The sequence below is a fragment of the Homo sapiens genome, chromosome 4 (assembly GCF_000001405.40).
Source record: "Homo sapiens chromosome 4, GRCh38.p14 Primary Assembly".
NCBI classification, from domain to species: domain Eukaryota; kingdom Metazoa; phylum Chordata; class Mammalia; order Primates; family Hominidae; genus Homo; species Homo sapiens.
Window position 1 is genome coordinate 26855613 of NC_000004.12, and position 16817 is coordinate 26872429.

At 40.2% G+C, this 16817-nt stretch overlaps 2 protein-coding genes and 1 long non-coding RNA gene across 7 annotated transcripts in view, besides 6 other annotated features; 2 read left to right on the forward strand and 1 right to left on the reverse strand.

Annotated features, from left to right (window-relative positions):
• Positions 1-3307, forward strand: part of TBC1D19 (TBC1 domain family member 19) — a 282243-nt gene extending 278936 nt beyond the window's left edge. Inside the window, exon 22 of the transcript XR_007057937.1 lies at positions 2587-3307. The gene's annotated coding sequence lies outside the window, so the exon portion shown is untranslated. The remainder of the gene's footprint in view (positions 1-2586) is intronic.
• Positions 1606-1705: an enhancer, noted in NCBI's record as "active region_21400". NCBI's record gives its function as "activates an Ori minimal core promoter by ATAC-STARR-seq in GM12878 lymphoblastoid cells {active_cell/tissue: GM12878}" and the evidence as "EXISTENCE:reporter gene assay evidence [ECO:0000049][PMID:35858748]".
• Positions 1826-2115: a silencer, noted in NCBI's record as "silent region_15338". NCBI's record gives its function as "represses an Ori minimal core promoter by ATAC-STARR-seq in GM12878 lymphoblastoid cells {active_cell/tissue: GM12878}" and the evidence as "EXISTENCE:reporter gene assay evidence [ECO:0000049][PMID:35858748]".
• Positions 2136-2185: a silencer, noted in NCBI's record as "silent region_15339". NCBI's record gives its function as "represses an Ori minimal core promoter by ATAC-STARR-seq in GM12878 lymphoblastoid cells {active_cell/tissue: GM12878}" and the evidence as "EXISTENCE:reporter gene assay evidence [ECO:0000049][PMID:35858748]".
• Positions 3308-4011: 704 nt separating the features above from the next.
• On the reverse strand, positions 4012-4987 carry STIM2-AS1 (STIM2 antisense RNA 1). Of its 3 annotated transcripts, none has more exons than NR_134674.1 (2): positions 4898-4987; positions 4012-4416 (listed from the first exon to the last, which is right to left on the reverse strand). It is a non-coding gene; the product is annotated as an STIM2 antisense RNA 1 (long non-coding RNA). The 3 variants fall into 3 exon arrangements; NR_134673.1 differs by having other exon boundaries at positions 4729-4987; NR_134675.1 differs by lacking the exon at positions 4898-4987 and adding an exon at positions 4526-4632.
• Positions 4786-4885: an enhancer, noted in NCBI's record as "active region_21401". NCBI's record gives its function as "activates an Ori minimal core promoter by ATAC-STARR-seq in GM12878 lymphoblastoid cells {active_cell/tissue: GM12878}" and the evidence as "EXISTENCE:reporter gene assay evidence [ECO:0000049][PMID:35858748]".
• Positions 4976-5345: a silencer, noted in NCBI's record as "silent region_15340". NCBI's record gives its function as "represses an Ori minimal core promoter by ATAC-STARR-seq in GM12878 lymphoblastoid cells {active_cell/tissue: GM12878}" and the evidence as "EXISTENCE:reporter gene assay evidence [ECO:0000049][PMID:35858748]".
• Positions 5229-16817, forward strand: part of STIM2 (stromal interaction molecule 2) — a 164541-nt gene continuing 152952 nt past the window's right edge. For all 3 annotated transcript variants that reach the window (NM_001169118.2, NM_001169117.2, NM_020860.4), the window contains exon 1: positions 5229-5757. In NM_001169118.2, coding sequence (NP_001162589.1) covers positions 5607-5757 — 151 coding nt within the window. In that variant the 5' untranslated portion in view covers positions 5229-5606. The remainder of the gene's footprint in view (positions 5758-16817) is intronic.
• Positions 5356-5925: a silencer, noted in NCBI's record as "silent region_15341". NCBI's record gives its function as "represses an Ori minimal core promoter by ATAC-STARR-seq in GM12878 lymphoblastoid cells {active_cell/tissue: GM12878}" and the evidence as "EXISTENCE:reporter gene assay evidence [ECO:0000049][PMID:35858748]".

Here is a 16817-nt window from a genome sequence, read left to right on the forward strand (position 1 = left end):
CTGGATGGATTTTCCACAAAGAAGAGGGAGGTGGGCAGCCCTTTGAAGCTTTTAAACAGGCCCACTTTTCTTCTCCTTGCTGATATATGTTTCTGTGGCATCTTTTTCTAAAGTAGGTGTTTTGTATACTTTAAGATTGAAAGTAGGTAATTCCTTTTTAGATAATCTCTTCAAGTGCTGTAGGGAACCCCTTGGCAGCTTCCTGCCTCATAATTCACAGACATTATGAATGTTTTTAAAATTAATTTTTAATTGACAAATATTGTGTATATTTATGGAGTACAATGTTTTGAGCTATATGTACATTGTAGAACAATTCAACTGAGCTAACATATCTATTATCTCACTGACTTAACCTTTTTTGTAGTGACAATGTTAAAAATCTATCTTTTTAGCAATTTTGAAATAGACATTAACTGTGGTTATTGTGAAGTACAATAGATCACTCAAACATATTCCTCCAGTCTAACAGTAACCTTATACCCTTTGGTCAGCATCTTCCCTTTCCCCATCCCTCGCCCCATTCACACTTACCAGCCTCTGGTAATCACCTTTATACTGTTTCTATGAGATGAACTTTTTTTTAGATTCCACATATGTGGGGTCATACAATGTTTGTTTTTCTACGCCTGGCTTATTTCACTTAGCCTAATGTCCTCCAGTTCCACCCATGTTGCAGTGAATGAAGAATTTCCTTCTTTTTTAAGGCTCTATAGTATTCCACTGTGTGTATATATACCCTATTTTCCTTATCCATTCATCTGTTGATGGACATTTAGTTTGCTTCCATATCTTGGCTATTGTAAATAATGCTGAAATGAACATGAGAGTGCAGATATCTCATTGACATACTGATTTCCATTCCTTTGGATATATACTCAGAAGTGGGATTGCTGGATCATATGATAATTCTATTCCTAGTTTTTTAGGAACCTCCATACTACTTTCCAAAATGGGTATACTAATTTACATTTCCACTAACAGTATACCAGGGTTTCCTTTTCTCCACATCCTCATCAACACTTATTTGTCTTTTTGATAATAGCCATCATTTTCTCACCATTTTCAATTGTTATGATCTTTACTTTAGCTCCATCACAATTCTAGTCCTCTTTTTGTGGAAAATGTCAACATTCCTGCTGCTTCAGCATCTGTCAGTTATCATGTGATCAATAATATTCATGTAACACCTCAAATTAAGCAGTATAGAGCAAACACATCCTATTTAATAATATAAACGACTCACCCCACACGCCCTCTGATTGCACCGGGCTTTAGCGGGCAAAGTTAACTCGCTTCTGTTGAGCGGCTTTTAAAAAACTATGTTAGTTAAATCTAGAGTTTTTAACTCCCTATCCTGGATGCAAGACACTTAAAAAGACTTCCTTCCTCTGCTCCCAGAGAAAGCAGCAATAAAATTTTCCACCTTCACTACACCACTTGAGGACTATCTCATGTTTTATTGGGTTTAGGGAGGAAGGGTCTTGCTAATGAGTTACTTCCACGGTGTCACTTCTATTCCTAGTGCTTTATTAAACAATTTGAGGACCCCATTTTTATGCTAGGGCTTCATTGATCGAATGGAGCCATCACATTGTCTATATCACTTTAGAGGTGTTTCCAAAGTTCTCAGCACCTCGAGTCCCTTGTTAGCGTTTGTCGAGAGTCAGCGGGAAAACTCGATACCTAACAGCGTTTCCACCGAAGGCAGCTCTCTGAGGGGCTTCACCATCAAGAGCAAGCGAACCAGGCTGGACCACCCTGCTGGGTCTGTCCCGACATTCCAGGGCCACGCAGGGAAGTCAAAGACGGGAAGGAGAAGATCAGTGGGAGGGCGAGGCGCCGGAATTCCCCACTTCTATACCTCCACCCCTACTACCGCCCCACGTCCACCACCCTCCCCACTGACAGCCCGCCGCGCCCGCCCACGCGGTGACGCCATCTCGCGGCTGCCGGGCGCCCCGCCCACAGAGTGGGAGCCGGAAGCCGGGCGGGCAGCGGCGCGCGGCGTCCCGGAACCCAGCAGCTTGAGAACTCGCGCACCTGGGGGAAGCCGGCAGGAGGCAGCGGGCATGCGCGGGGCTGCGGTGGCGCAGGCGCCCTGCCGCGCCCGCCAGTCGGGAACCGGTTCTCCGAGTCCGAGCTGGCGGCGCGCTGTGGGCTGTGCGGGAGCGAGGGGAGAAGAGGGAGATAGGGAGCCCGACATTTGGGAAGGGCAGGCTTGCCTCTGGGATGGGGAGGAGCCGGTGCACGGATCCTGCTGTGCCTCTGTGCAGGGCGCGCCCAGTAGTTTGGGATTTGCAAGAAAATGCAATCAAACAACATGGGCAAAGTGCGATGCGTTTATCCTAAGCCAAGAACACGCTTAGAATGCACGCCCAGAGCCAGTTCTCCCCAAGGGATGGCAACGCACCTGTGTGCCGGGCTCCGCGCAAGGGCTTTCCCTGTTTATTCTCCCGCCGCCGCTAACAACCTTGTGGGGCGGGCATGGTTGGATCCCCAATTTAAAAGTGGGGAAACTGAGGACAGATTAACCTGTCTGCACGTAACACAGCTGAAAAGTGGTGGAATTGCTATTTCTTTCAGGTTTGCCTGATTCTAGAGCTCAATGCTGCCCATCAGGTGTTTGAAGTCATGATTTGGTGAAAATGGGACAGTGAAGACGTTCTGAAAAAAAAAAAAGGCATATGATGAGGTTTGGACATTGAGAGGTATAGGCTGGCTGTAGGAGTCGGGTAAGTGCCAAGGAAAAGGGCCTCAGGGTAGCTTTTGAATGGGATTTGGCGACAGGGAAGGAGAGAAAGCTTTGGGGTGGTGAGAACAAGGGAAGGGAAAGGGAAAACAAAAGCGTGGAGGTGGGAAAGGAAACCTGGGGAGAAAGGTAAGCGATTGCCTCATTTGGAGTCTTGTGTTTATGTTTGGCTTGCAAATAGAAGCATATATAATTCTAGGGTTGGGCTTTTCTTGCCAAGGAATGGATTTTCTCCTTTCTGTTCTTAGGTTTATGCTGTGATGCACAGTGACACGTACCTCTCTCTGTTCAGCAAGGTTCATTCCGGCTATTCATTTAACAGCTGGAAAGTTCTATATCTGTGGCAAAGATGATCTGCGGTGGAGGGTTTATTCCTGGCCCCTGGCCTTCCTGGCCTTGGTCTTTTGAGTGCTTGCCGGATCCCTAGTTCCTTTCCGGTTCCAGTAGTGAGAGGAATAAACACTTAAAACTCCAGTCCAATACACTCTCAATGTCAATACCCTCCCTATCTTTAAAAGAAGAAAAAAAAATACTAAATCATCTTTGTTTAAAGAATCCTGGCCCCTGTGATTTGTTAATTTGTTCGTGGTTTTATACTGTTACTACTGTAACAGTTTGCACTACACCATTTAGCAACTGATTACTACTTTGTATTAGCCTCTAATTGTTTAATGGGTGTACATTTTATCTCCTTAAAAAGATTGTAAGATGCCTTAGTCATGGGACTGTGCTGTTTATCTCATAGCCCTGACTGCTGACTTAATTGCCTTTTTCAAGTGTCTCTCTTGCCTAACCCTCACCACTCAGTACTCTGCCTGGCACATACTAGGTACTCAGTAAACATTTAATAAATGAAATGCCTCCTGGAGAGCAGGAACAAGCTTGTTATTTATATTGTTCTGGTCCCCTAGCAGAATTATCTTCTCTGGTGGGCACTCAGCACTCTGGTGTGACTTCATCGCTGTGCCTTTCAGCAGGGGAAATATAATCTCCCGGTTGCCCTATAAAGAATTGCCACCTGAACACTATGCCCACAAGAAGTCTGCTGAGAAATAACTGTTGATAGATTGACTTAGCCTCAAAGACATCCTTGATTCTTTTCTAAAGTGTGCATCTGCCCTTCCACAATAAACGATATTTGTGGTTATCTTGGCCAGGCTACCTAAGAAATACTTTAGGAGAATGTAATTTGAGTATCTTCTTGGCTTGAGAAAGCAAGCAAACAAACCAATAAGCAGAATGAAACCAACAAAACCCAATAGCAAAAGGATCTTCGTGTTTAATAACCCTATCTGCAAATTTTAAACAATTTTGTGCCCCTGGGAGAAAGAATGCCTCCTTGCGTGTGAATTTCCAGGGCTTTTAATTTATAGTGACAGTACATTCAACACTTCCTTTTAAATTTGAAGGGAGGTGGCCTTAAAAATATGCTGGCAACTAGTTTGGATGAGAAAGATTCCGGTTCTTTATTTATTCAAACCAATTAGACCAGGTCTGAACAGGATTTACAACAGAGAGCAGATCTTGGGTGCACAAGAGCTTTGCTTCATTCCAGGTTGGCGAAAACAAGTCAAGTCTACATCATTGTTCTGTCAGCCGGTTCAGGATACAGCACAGAGTCGATGGGATGGGGGTGGGAAGGTGATGAGTTCAGGTAAATGTACCTAGGAGAGTCAGAGGCTAAAGTAAATTCTCTTAAATAGGCCTTTTCAGTGGCTGCTAAATCTCGCTCATTTCCCATGAATTAGCTGTGGGATATTGGGGACAACTTACTTCACATTTCTAGGTCTTAGTCTCTTCATTCGTAAAAGGGGGTAACGATAATTTTGGAGTTATAGCATGTAAATGTGTAAAACGGTTAGAGCAATGCCTGGTACACTCACACATAGCACGCGCTTTGTGAAATGTTTGGCAAGTAAATAAAACGCTAAGCTATGCTAACCGCGTCTAAACAGCCAGCCACTTGTAAGCCCCACCTATATTGAAATTACGGGGACGCTGCTGTTTTCCGATTGCAAGATTTTCCTGATCCATGCAATTACTTTCGCTGCCCTCTACGAGGCTGAAACTCGCCCTCAGGATGTGGGACGTCTGGACTCTTCTCTCCGTCCCCTTGTAGCCCCCCACTCCCCCTCGCGGTGGTACCGTGAATGAGGGAGAGGTACACGTCCCCCTTCTTCCCCGCCTCCTATCTTCGCGGCTCGCTAAAGCGTTATCAGCCGCCCCACGGTACTACCGTCCGTCTAGGAACGCCTCCGGGGCGGGGCTGGGATGCCGCGCACGCGCAGTACAGCAGCGCCGCGCCTGCGCCGTGGAGAGCCTGAGGGAGGCGGGGGATTGGTATGCGAGCGAATGTGCGAGGGGAGGGAGGCGTCCCGGCGGAGCGTGGTACTACGACCAGCGCGGGCCGGAGGGGGCGGGGGGATGCGCCGCGGCGGCGGCGGCGCGGGAGCTGGGGTTGGTGTTTGGCGGCGCCAGAGCAGCGGATCCCGGTCTCGCCGCAGCAGCAGCGCGGGTGTCGTGCACCGCCTGAAGACGCCGTACCTTTCTACCCCCCACCTTTTTTTTTTTTTTTTTTAAATAACCGGAACCAATGAACGCAGCCGGGATCAGAGCTCCGGAGGCCGCCGGTGCCGATGGGACCAGGCTGGCGCCCGGCGGGAGCCCGTGTCTGAGGCGGCGGGGGCGGCCGGAGGAGTCGCCGGCGGCGGTGGTGGCGCCTCGCGGAGCCGGCGAGCTGCAGGCGGCCGGGGCGCCGCTGCGCTTTCACCCGGCTTCTCCTCGGCGCCTTCATCCCGCCTCGACTCCTGGCCCAGCGTGGGGCTGGCTGCTGCGGCGGCGGCGCTGGGCTGCGTTGCTGGTGCTCGGGCTGCTGGTAGCCGGAGCGGCGGACGGATGCGAGCTTGTGCCCCGGCACCTCCGCGGGCGGCGGGCGACTGGCTCTGCCGCAACTGCCGCCTCCTCTCCCGCCGCGGCGGCCGGCGATAGCCCGGCGCTCATGACAGGTGAGGGGCCGGGGGGCGGCGGGCGGGGCTCGGCCGGCAGCGATGGGACCCCCAACCCGTGCAGAGGTCAGCATCTCCGCCGGACGTCCGCTATTCCGCGGCTCCGGCCAGGGCGCGATGCGGAGCCCTGCCTGCTGCTTCGTCGCGGTCCCCTGCACTCCGGACGTCTTTCCTTTTCACCCCGACACCCCGCCCTCGCCGAGCCTCTCGACGGCACTGATTCCCCTCCCTTCAGTCGGGCTCTCCGATCTTCCAAGCTGAGCAATGCGGTGGTTTCTCTTTCGTGCTGCAGAAGTGCCAGCAGGGTCTGCAGGGGACTGGGCTGATTTTTTTTTTTTTTTTTTTTTTGAGGCTGCTAGAAAAAGTCAGCAGCAGCATTGCGGTATTGAGTCTACCTCTGGTGCTGCTTTTGCAAAGGCAGCTGGCAGCGAGTCTCACCGGTTCAAAGCTCCGCTTGAGCACAGCGTCCCAGGGGAGCCTGCTAAAGGGGATTCTTTGAGAGCCATAATACCTAGTGATATTAGTGGTTCCGTGTTAGTATGCAGAAATGCCTAAGTTTACAGTGCATTTTTTGCGGGGTGGAAGGAGGCCGTTTTAAGTGGTGATGGAAAGTGTTTGGTGGTGGGAGCATCACTGGGTGACAAAGGGTGTAGAAACCTCAGCAGGTAACCAGAAATTATACCTAAAATTTGCAAAGTGCAGCATACTCGGGGCTTGCAGCTGGCAGCACAGTTCTGATAGACTGCACTAGCACCTTTTTTTTAATATATAGAACGATCTCATAATTGAAAACTTGGAAACGTGTTTTGTAAGGTTAAGTGCAGAATTGTATCCTTTTTAAAGCCTTCCGGTGTTATGTACAACTGATCAGTTGTGGTTTAAGTAAAAGTTATTATATAAGGACCCTGAAATGATTTCTTTGGGAAAAGTAATGGAGCTAAAATAATGGTTTTTTTTTTTTTTTTTAGTATTTCACTTATTTTTAAAGTAGATCTGTAGATTTCCTACAATAATTGTAAGACTAAAAAGTTTAAAGTGGCAGAAGATGACCCGTGATTAATTTAACCAAAATGATAGTCCTGCGGGCGTCTGGAAGTTACTAACAGCTTCTCTGACAAGTGCTCAGGAACTGTATTCTTTAAAGCCAAGCAGTTTCTCTGATTTCTATGATAGGATATTTACTATTCTAGAGAGAAGAAGGATGTTGGTAAACTTTAAAAGCTTTGGAGGATGTAGAGTATAGAACATAATGGTCAGCATGTTTAACTTTACCCTGAAGCATATCAAGCCCTATTAAATGGAACTTGATACATCAAACCTACCAATTGGGTAACTGGGATAAAGTGATTATAGAATAATCAGTATTAGGAGCATAGTACAGTTTGAGTGAGAAGATAGGTCAGACAGCTTTATGCTTGAATAGTATTTATTCTCCAAATAAAAATGTGGCAAGTAACAGTATAGTGAAGAATAGTGATTATTAGGAAAGTTGATAAATAAGACTATAATTTGAAGATTTAATGCCTCATGCAGGAAGGGAAGGAGCAGGAATATTTAGGCTTCTAGAAGGTATAAGTGGTTCTAGGTTTCTCGAGCAGAAAAATGTGGTTAATACATAATTGGCTAATGCTCTGTGAAAAAGTAATTGGTAAAAAGGCAAGCAATTCAGAAAATTTAGTATTTATTGACTGCTAATAAGTATATTTTATACTGTGTAGATCACATCAAGAAAATTGGTCAGATGGAATTTTAATAAGCCATTTACAATCCCTTTTAAGACTTAAATTTCTCTATACTTATTTAAGGCATGGGGGAAAAAGGTGATTCTTATTGGAAAAAAATCCGATGTATCACACAAAATGAGTTTGTGCCATAGGGCTTTAAAATAAGTTTGCTAGAAGAATACCCTGGAATTATTTCTAACGTTCTTTTACTTTCCTTTTGTCAGAATATTGATTTTTAACAAGTTAAACGTTTCCACTTAAAGTTTAAATCATAAAACTACACAATATACAAATTAAATTGTTATTTTAATAAGTTTATGTAAATACAGTCAATAGCACCCATATCTTGGTAAAGGTAAACTGAAAATCTATGATGAAGTTAGAAAATATTGAAAATTTCTTTGAACTATATGGCCTCTATAGGGCTCTTTCCCATTCTTAAGAGTGTATGAATAGTGCTTTCTTTTATGGTTCTATTTGTAAATGTTATGCAAAGCCTAGAACCTAATTTATTAGCATTAGTGTACACTTCAGGAAGTAAAACCGTAGACTGAATTTACAAAATACTGTGGTGTGGTATCATATTGTAGGCAGCGTTAATGGATAGAGATGGAGTAGAGCATCAGTAATAAGAGAACTAAACGTCACGTGAATTTTGAAAATTGAAAATTTTTGAAAGCATTCTGAGAGAAGAATTGGTCTCTTTGTCTCCTGATTAAAGTTGTGATTTAGCTGTGAGTATTCTCAATAGCTCTGCAAAATGACAGCCAAAATCACTTTTCTGTTTTCTTCTCGAGATTGGCATTTTTAATACTTACCTTTAGAAGCTCCCTAAGAGTTAGCCTTTGACTAATAAAATGTATAAAACATTCTTTTTCACTGCAGCTTGCCTCTCAAGTGTTTTACTTTAGGGATTTAGTGTACTTTAAGAGTAAATTGCCTTTAAATTATCCTGTGTTTATTTGCTCAAATAAACTGTTATTGCTCAAAACTATACAAATCATCCAAATAAACAGACCCATTGTCATAATGAATACAGGTTTATATTTTCTTTTCCTTTTTAAATATTACCTTTTCAGAATTCAGTGTGCAAATGTTTTTGGTGAGACAGAACCAATATTCATAACATTATATAGTAAGGGTTTTAAATTACATATACAGCGCTTATATATTTAGGGCACTTACTTTGAAAGTGATTGAAATTTAAAGCAAGTTAGGGATAGGTGACTGAGAGCTTGGTGATTGTATTCTAAAGCAGTGCTTTAATAACTCAAAACAATAGTTTTTTTTTTCCTTCTTTGTCTAACAGATTTAGAGTTGATGAATTGATCCTGGTAGGGAGTGACCGATCTCATCCAGATAGGGTCCCTGAGAAATAGCTTATGAAAGGGAAACAAACAAACAAAAAAATGCCGAATAATTGAAACATTACATTATTTCTTACGGAATTGTTTCAGAATTTTTGGGAACAAATTTTAACTGAAAATATTTGCCTCTATCCTTTTAAAGAATGAATTAAAGTAACATTCTTTAGTGCCTATGTGAAGGTTTTATCTTAACTGTAATACCATTTCACTGATTTGGCATGTTATTAGAAATAACATATATAAAAACATGTTTCTTGGAAGTATTAAAATCTCAATTAAGATTTAATATATTCTTAGTTCAACATATAATACCACATATAATAGCATTTAGAATGGCCACTTTACCCAGTACTGTTACACACATCTGTGTTGTGGGGCTTTCATTAATTTAGATGGAAATACCTCAAATTAGCATGATTGTCATTGGCAAAATGTGAAACTGAACTTTTAATGAAATCAGTTGTATTCCTTATTTATTTTTATTAGTAGTTGGTTTGCCTGTGGGATATATATGTTGCTTTCAGTAATATTTTACAAATAACTTACACATGTTAATGTTTCCATTGTGACCGTAGACTCAAAGTGGATTCAGATAGCCTGAGAGACCTTTGTTCCTCTTATGACGTTGTTCTTTCTGAACTTCCTAAAGCCATCATTTACTGTATTCTCTTTCTCTTTCCCCTTTAGTATCATTACCAGTGCTTTTCTTCACCAGTCTTTGGTCATTGCTGTAGTTGTATTATTGTTGCTAACTACAGGATTAAAGAATCTCTTCATATCCATTTGATCTAGTCGATTCTGAACATTTAAGAATTGATAGTAATCTAATTGGTCTGGAAACATTGCATCCCTTGGTACTCTTAAGAATACATGGCAGAACTGGCCTCTGTTGGGAATCTCATAGAACAGGAAGCATTCAGAGGGCCAGTTAGAAAAGTGGATCCAAGATTTAGCTTCCTTTTATGCAAAAGGAGGACACAGGATGATTTAGCTTGCCAAAGACTTGCTTTGTGGCTGGATACATGCTAGTATTTTCAGATTAATTTAGGCTCTTTTTGCGTAATGATATCAAGGATTTTTGATAGTGGCCTAATCATTGATGATAATTGTGGTGTGAACACTTTCACAATGATTGTTGGACGTCTGCATTTATGTAATATGATAGTTAATGTATATATTGGCTAAGCTAATACTAAAACTAACTGCTAATAATATGGATAATAAGCCATTTTTTGACATTTACTGGAGTTTGGACTTCACCTTGTTAAGATCTACCTAGGAATTTACTTCTGAATTGATCAGATTTTATTAACTAAATAATTATTAAGTACAAGCAGCATAACACAAAAGAGAAGTGGGAAAGAATTAAAAAAAAGAATAAGATGTAGGTGTGACCATTTTGGACTCAGACTAGGTAATAATAGGCACATTTATTAAACTGTTCCTATGTGTTAGTATTGTGCTAAGTGCTTTTTATATTATACATCACTGTTTTTGATTCTGAGACTAATCCTGTTAGATAGCTACTGTTTTTTTTTTTCCTTCTAACTTTTATTTTAGATTCATTTTAGATTCCAACTTTTATTTTAGATTCATATGCAGGTTCATTGCCTGGGTTTATTGCATGATATTGAGATTTTAGTTACCAACGATCTTGTCACCCAGGTACTGAGCATAGTACTCAATAGTTCAATAGTTTTTCAACCCTTACCCCTCCTCTTACCTCCCCCACAAGTAGTCCTCAGTTTTCTATTGTTGCTGTCTTTATCTTCATATAGTAGATTAGGAAACATGCTGGATGATCTTAAGTAACTTGCCCAAGCTCACTTCTAGTAGGTAGCAGAGTTAGAGGTTGACCAGGGTTTCTCTGGTTCCAAAGCTTGGATTCTTAGCTGGTATGTTGTATGCATCCTTATACAAACAACATGCGATGGATTGTGATTAGCACCACAAGGGACTGCAAAGTGTAGGAGAAAGGAAGAGGCTGTTAGAGAGTATTACCTGGAGGAGGGCAGGATTTGAGCTGGACCTTGATGTATAGGTAGGACTTCTTGTGGAGATAAGTGAAAAGGCTTTCTGGGAGGAGGCATATGCAAGAATAGGGGATAAATACTTTTCTTTAGAGTTAAGTATAAGGTATATGTAGAGTAGTGGGGAATGCAAGAAGGAAGAAGATTGGGGCCAAATTATCAAGAGCTTTACAGTCCCCTAGTGTATTCAGTATGTATCAAAATGTCAGCACATTTAAAACTGGGGTACTCGGCTGTATACTGGCAAGAATGAGACATCCAGGACAAATATGGTACCTTTTCTTGGCATATCCATTTTATTAGATTATTTGAGAGATATAAAACTATTTGAAGGTTTCTAAATATGCACGTTAGGGAAAATGTACATATATTTTAATTTTTAAGGTAAAAGGCATTTTGAACTTTCAGAGTGTTTTGTTAATAAACTCTTGAAGTTGCAAATCTATATCCTGTCATTAGGAGGTGAGAGGCATTGTGGTTTTTGAAGATGGGGGTGACATGTCCTTTGTGTTTGAGAAAGCTAATTCTGGGTGGATGGCAATGAGGAGATAACAGAGATAAGGATATCAGTTAGGAAACTATTTAGAAGGAGAGGTCTTGAGAATTCTAATTATGGAGTGGCTATGAAAATGTTTAGATGAAATTTTATAAAATCGACTTTATTCTTAGCTTAGGAATCTGGCTATTTATATGAAGTTTAAGATATAAAAATTACCTTTAGCATTAAGCATACAGAATTTATAGAATGATTTAAATTAGTATAAGCCCTTGAAAAATCCAAGAAGAAACACACTATTTGTGATAGAGAATCTTCTTTATTTCAAATGTGCCTATTTCTTAATATAAAGATTAGTTTTTAAAAAAATATAATCGGGCTTATGTGATGATTTACAAAGTTGTCGACAGAAAAACAGTTGCAAATGTATTTGCCAGTTGTTTGACAAATAAAACCAAACAACTTTTGATATCCAAAGACAATATATTTGCCATAAAATGCTTATATAAAGCTTTTAGAATTCCATGTATAAAAAGGATAAGTGTTTCCAGATTAAACTAAAGTTATAAGTCAAGAGTCGAAGTCTCTCCGACCCCTTAGCTATGAATAACAATATTTCAGACTACTGGCATATTACTTGTTTCAATATTAACTCCTAAATTTCATTGTTGTGTGAATTTCAAGCTTAATCTATAGATGATGATTTCTAATGCCAAATCTAAAAGGTTTGTTCTGTTCTTTAGCTATCTAGATCTTTATATTAGTATACATTGGATATTCAGTCTTTCTTGACACTGTCTAATTCTACCTTCTGTAACTGTTTTCCTTGACTGGTTTCATTGTTGCTGATTTTAAGGGTGGTTCCCTCTTAAGTCTCTGTTCTCAGCCTCCTCTTCCTCTAGTCTAGCTGAACATTTCCTCCTCAGAGAACTTCATTACTAGGAAAGTTCTAAATTGGGGGTAGGGAACCCCAGGCCAATGATTGATTTGATTTTTGGCTTTATTTCCTTTGGCCCTTGGTGTGCTATAGCACAAGCATCATGGCTGCAGTCCCGAGAGTAATTTCCTTTCTACTAGGCTTTGTCAGCCATATCCTTTAAAGTGAAACAATTTCAGGATTAAGGCTAGGAGCAGTTGCAGAATGTTTAATAATGTCTATTCAGTGTTTTCATAAGATAGTGGTAACTCCCCTCCAGTACACACAGGCTGATTGGAGCCACAGAGCCTGGCAAGCGCAGTTTACTTGGACTAACATTCATCTCAGAGCCCAAGTACCTGTATCTGTCCAAGTGTTTCTTTTTGCGTATGGATTTGTTTTTTTGTGTGCTTATGGATCTTGACCTCTGTGTAACTTTTTTCTCTAGTCATTTTCATTTTCTCTACCTCTTTTTGATCTTCCTAAACTTGACATTATATGGAACTGAAACACCTCAAAAACTGTTTTGTTTAATTAAGTGCTGGGATTTTAATTTAAAAAATGCTTGAAATGAATATCTCATTTATGTGATTACAGAATACTAAACAGCCTTATCATAAGCAGCCTCATCAAAACCCCCTAGGGTAGTGAAAGTGATTTGTAGTTTCTTACAATATTCTCAATAAGTAAAAAGGCTTTTTAAACCCTTGTTTGAAGTTTTTGTCTCCTACTCAGCACACTGCAAGTTGCACAGGCCCATGTTTTCTATTACTGTCTTTTTTTTCTTTTTTAAAAAATCTGATGTTGGATAACTAGATAATCTTAATCCCCCTTCTTTATTCCTATTGTCCAGCAATACATCTCTAACGTTTTCATTAATGACGTGTATGTAATTTTTGCTCTGTTTCCCTGATGCCTTGAACCATTGTCATGTTTAGCTCTTATTTCTGCTTTGCCACACATATTCAGACTGTATTAATCCTCGCCGTTTCTTTCTTCTGGGTACCACATTAAGAAAGAAAAGCTAAAGTGCAATTATAGGTACCCCTGGCTATTTTTGAATTTGCATTTGTAACTATACCCTCTGATGTTTATTCCGTGTTTGTTTGGGGTCGTACGCTGTAGCTTATGCCTGTAATCCCAGCACTTTTCGAGGCCAAGATGGGCAGATCACTTGAGCCCAGGACTTCGAGACCAGTCTGGGCAACACGGTGAAATCCCATCTCCTCAAAAAATACAAAAAAATTAGCTGGGCGTGATGATGTGCGCCTGTATTCCTGGCTACTCAGGAGGCTGAAATGGGAGAATCACCTGAGCCTGGGGGAAGTTAAGTCTGCAGCAAGCCCTGATCAGGCCACTGCACTCTGGCCTGGACGGCGGAGTGAGACCCTGTCTCCAAAAAAAAAAAAAAAAAAAAAGGAAGAAAAAAGTTTGTTTGGTTCTAGGTCTGTTACATATGGGTCCTAAAAAGAACTATAGAGGGTTAAAGTGAGAAAGCCAGTCGTTGGTGAATATGTCTGTGTGTGCATAGAGTTTTAAACATTATTTAGTGACTGTTTTGTGCCAGCTATGGTATGAGTAACTGGAAATATAAAGATGCTGAAATTGACTATTTAAAAACATTTATGTATTTATTTATTTTTAGAGATGTGGTCTCACTCTGTTGCCCAGGCTGGAGTGCAGTGACATGATCATAGCTCACTGCAGCCTCAAACTCCTGGACTCAATCAATCTTCCCGCCTTAGCCTCCCAGGCTGTGAGGCACCACAGATGGCTAATTAAAAAAAACTTTTTAAAATGTAAACCTGAAAATTGCCTGAGAGTGGATTGCATAATCTAAAAATATGAAAATATGTATAAATATTTTGTTTCTTAAAAGGCCACTGCTGTGGTAGCTTATCTAGTATCCTTGCTACATTTACTGAAAATATATGTTAGAGATATCTGCACTGCTATGTTCTTTTCAGCATTTTTCACAATAGCCAAGATATGGAAACAACCTTAACGTTCATCAATGAATGCATAAAGAAAATGTGATACATACGCACTTGCACCATGAAATATTATTCAGCATTAAAAAAGAAGAAAATCCTGCCATTTGCGGCAACATGGATGAACGTGGAGGACATTATGCTAAGTGAAGTAACGCAGCCATAGAAAGACAAATACTGCATGGAATCTGAAAATATCAAACTTACAGAGTAGAATGGTGGTTACCAGGGGCTAGGGAAAGGAGTAAATGGAGAGATGTTGAAACTTCAAGTACAAAGATTCAGTTATGCAACATAAATAAGTTCGGAGATCTAATGTACAACAGTGTGACTGTAGTTAATAGTGTCATATACTGTAATTGACATTTGTGAAGAGGGTAGACCTTAAAAGTTCTTAACACACCAAAAAAAAAAAAAAGGTAAGGATGTGATGTGATGGATTATGTGAATTAGCTTCATTGTGGTGAATATTTCATAATGTATGCATATATCAGATCAAATTGTATACCTTAAATATATCTACTTTTTGTCATTATGCCTTACTGAAGTTATAACAAAATATATGTTAGAATATTTAATGGAAGTTTTTGTTATACATTTGCAGTATTAAAAAATAAGTCTCCCTTCCCCCTTCTTTGGAACAAAGTATAATTATAAATAACTATAATTTAAAAAATTTTTAACTGATATATGATAGATGTACATGTTTTCAGGTATCATTCCTTTTTCACTCTTTTGTATACTTTATTAAAAAACAAGCAAGCAAACAAAAAATTTCAGTGAGTCCCATGTGCCAGACACCAGTTGGGTGTTTGGAATTTCAAGATCAGTAAGATATTCACCCTAGCTTGTAGTCTACTAGAAGGCATACCCACTTAAAGGGTGATGATACATTGTGATAAGGGTAAAAGGGCCTAAGGCTATGTGCTGTATTTTACTGAATTGCAAAGATGGAGTTACTAATTTTGATGTGGAGATGCAGGTTATTAGTAGGTTATTAGTGAATCCTTTTTTTTTTTTTTTAAATATCCAGAGTAGGAAGTATGTGCCGAGAATGTATGAGTTTGTCAGACAGAGAAAGGCATGGTGGAAAACCATAGGTGTGAAGTGAGGAAGCTGGGTGGGGAGTGAGATTATTATAGGCATTGACATTTGAGAATGCTAAATGTGGTTGTGAATTACCAAATACCCAGGATGACAGAGTCAATGCTGGGCCTGTTCGCAGTGCAGCAGCATCCATATTTGCATGTGGGATTTAAATTTTTGCCAGGCATTTTGTATGTTTCATCCAATTTAATCCTTAGAGAATCCCTGTGAGGTTATCTCCATGAGTTAGTACATATAACAGAAATTTAGGATTGCTCTCAAATAGTTCGTACTTTAAAAAACCCCCCTGTGCCAAGGATCTTTATGTTAAAGCATAAGGTATATATGGAGTTGAATCAGGAAATGAGGCTGGAGAAGTAGCAGATACAAACATTGTGATTAATGTTACATTGTAGATCTTTATTGTCCAATGGCCTTATGAGTTTCTCCTTCATTTACTTCTGGTAAATAACAAAATTTTGCTATTAAATATTCTGAAATCTTGGAATATGACTCCTATAAAATATATCTGAGGCCCAATAATTTGTCCTTTTTAAAATTAAACTTTGACTCGATTTGTTCAGTTTGACTCGGCTTTTCAGTAAGTGCGTAATTTCTGTTTGTGCTTTGTTTTCATAAATACAAGGATGACGGAATGTAATTTTTAAGAAGCATAGCATCTTATATCTTGAACTTTTATCTGGCCCATAAGTCTGTTTTCACCCTTTTTTTTTTTTTTTTTTGGTAGAGACAGAGTCTGAGTATGTTGCCCAGGGCTGATCTCAAATTCCTGGGCTTAGGCAATCCTCCCACCTCGGCCCCGCAAAGTAATTAGATTATGAGTGTGAGCTGCCATGCCTGGCCTGTTTCCACTTTTGTATAGTGTGATGAAGAGCATAGCCTCTAGACTAGGGCAGGATTTCCTGAGTTTGAATCCCAGTCTGACAGTGGTTTTGTAATTTTGGGTAGATGATTTAGTCTGTTAGTGCCTAAATTTCCTTATCTCTAAAATGGGATGCAAAGAATAAATGAATTACTCTGTGTGTGCTTAGAATAGAGCCTGGCAAGGGTAAGTATTCAGGTATTATTGACTTAACCATTATTCTTTTTATCTATAGATACAGAGGTAGGATAGTTGTAGAAATGTGCTTTGATTTATTGAGTGTTATTAAGATATTTTATGTTGCATTTAAAAAAGTATGAAGACATAGTTTGAGGCAGTTAGTTGATCTAAATAACCGGACCATGAGTGGTCCGAGATTAGTTAAAACTCTGTAGAAATATGAAGCTAAGTATAGACAGTGACATTGAGAAGCAGTGTGATATTAAAAAAAAATTAGTTGTATCATAAGCCTGAGTCATTTTGTACCTTTATTATTTTATATGATTTAAAGATTTAAAGCATTTTGCAGTTGAAATGTTAGACTTTAAAATCTTTAATTTCTGAGCT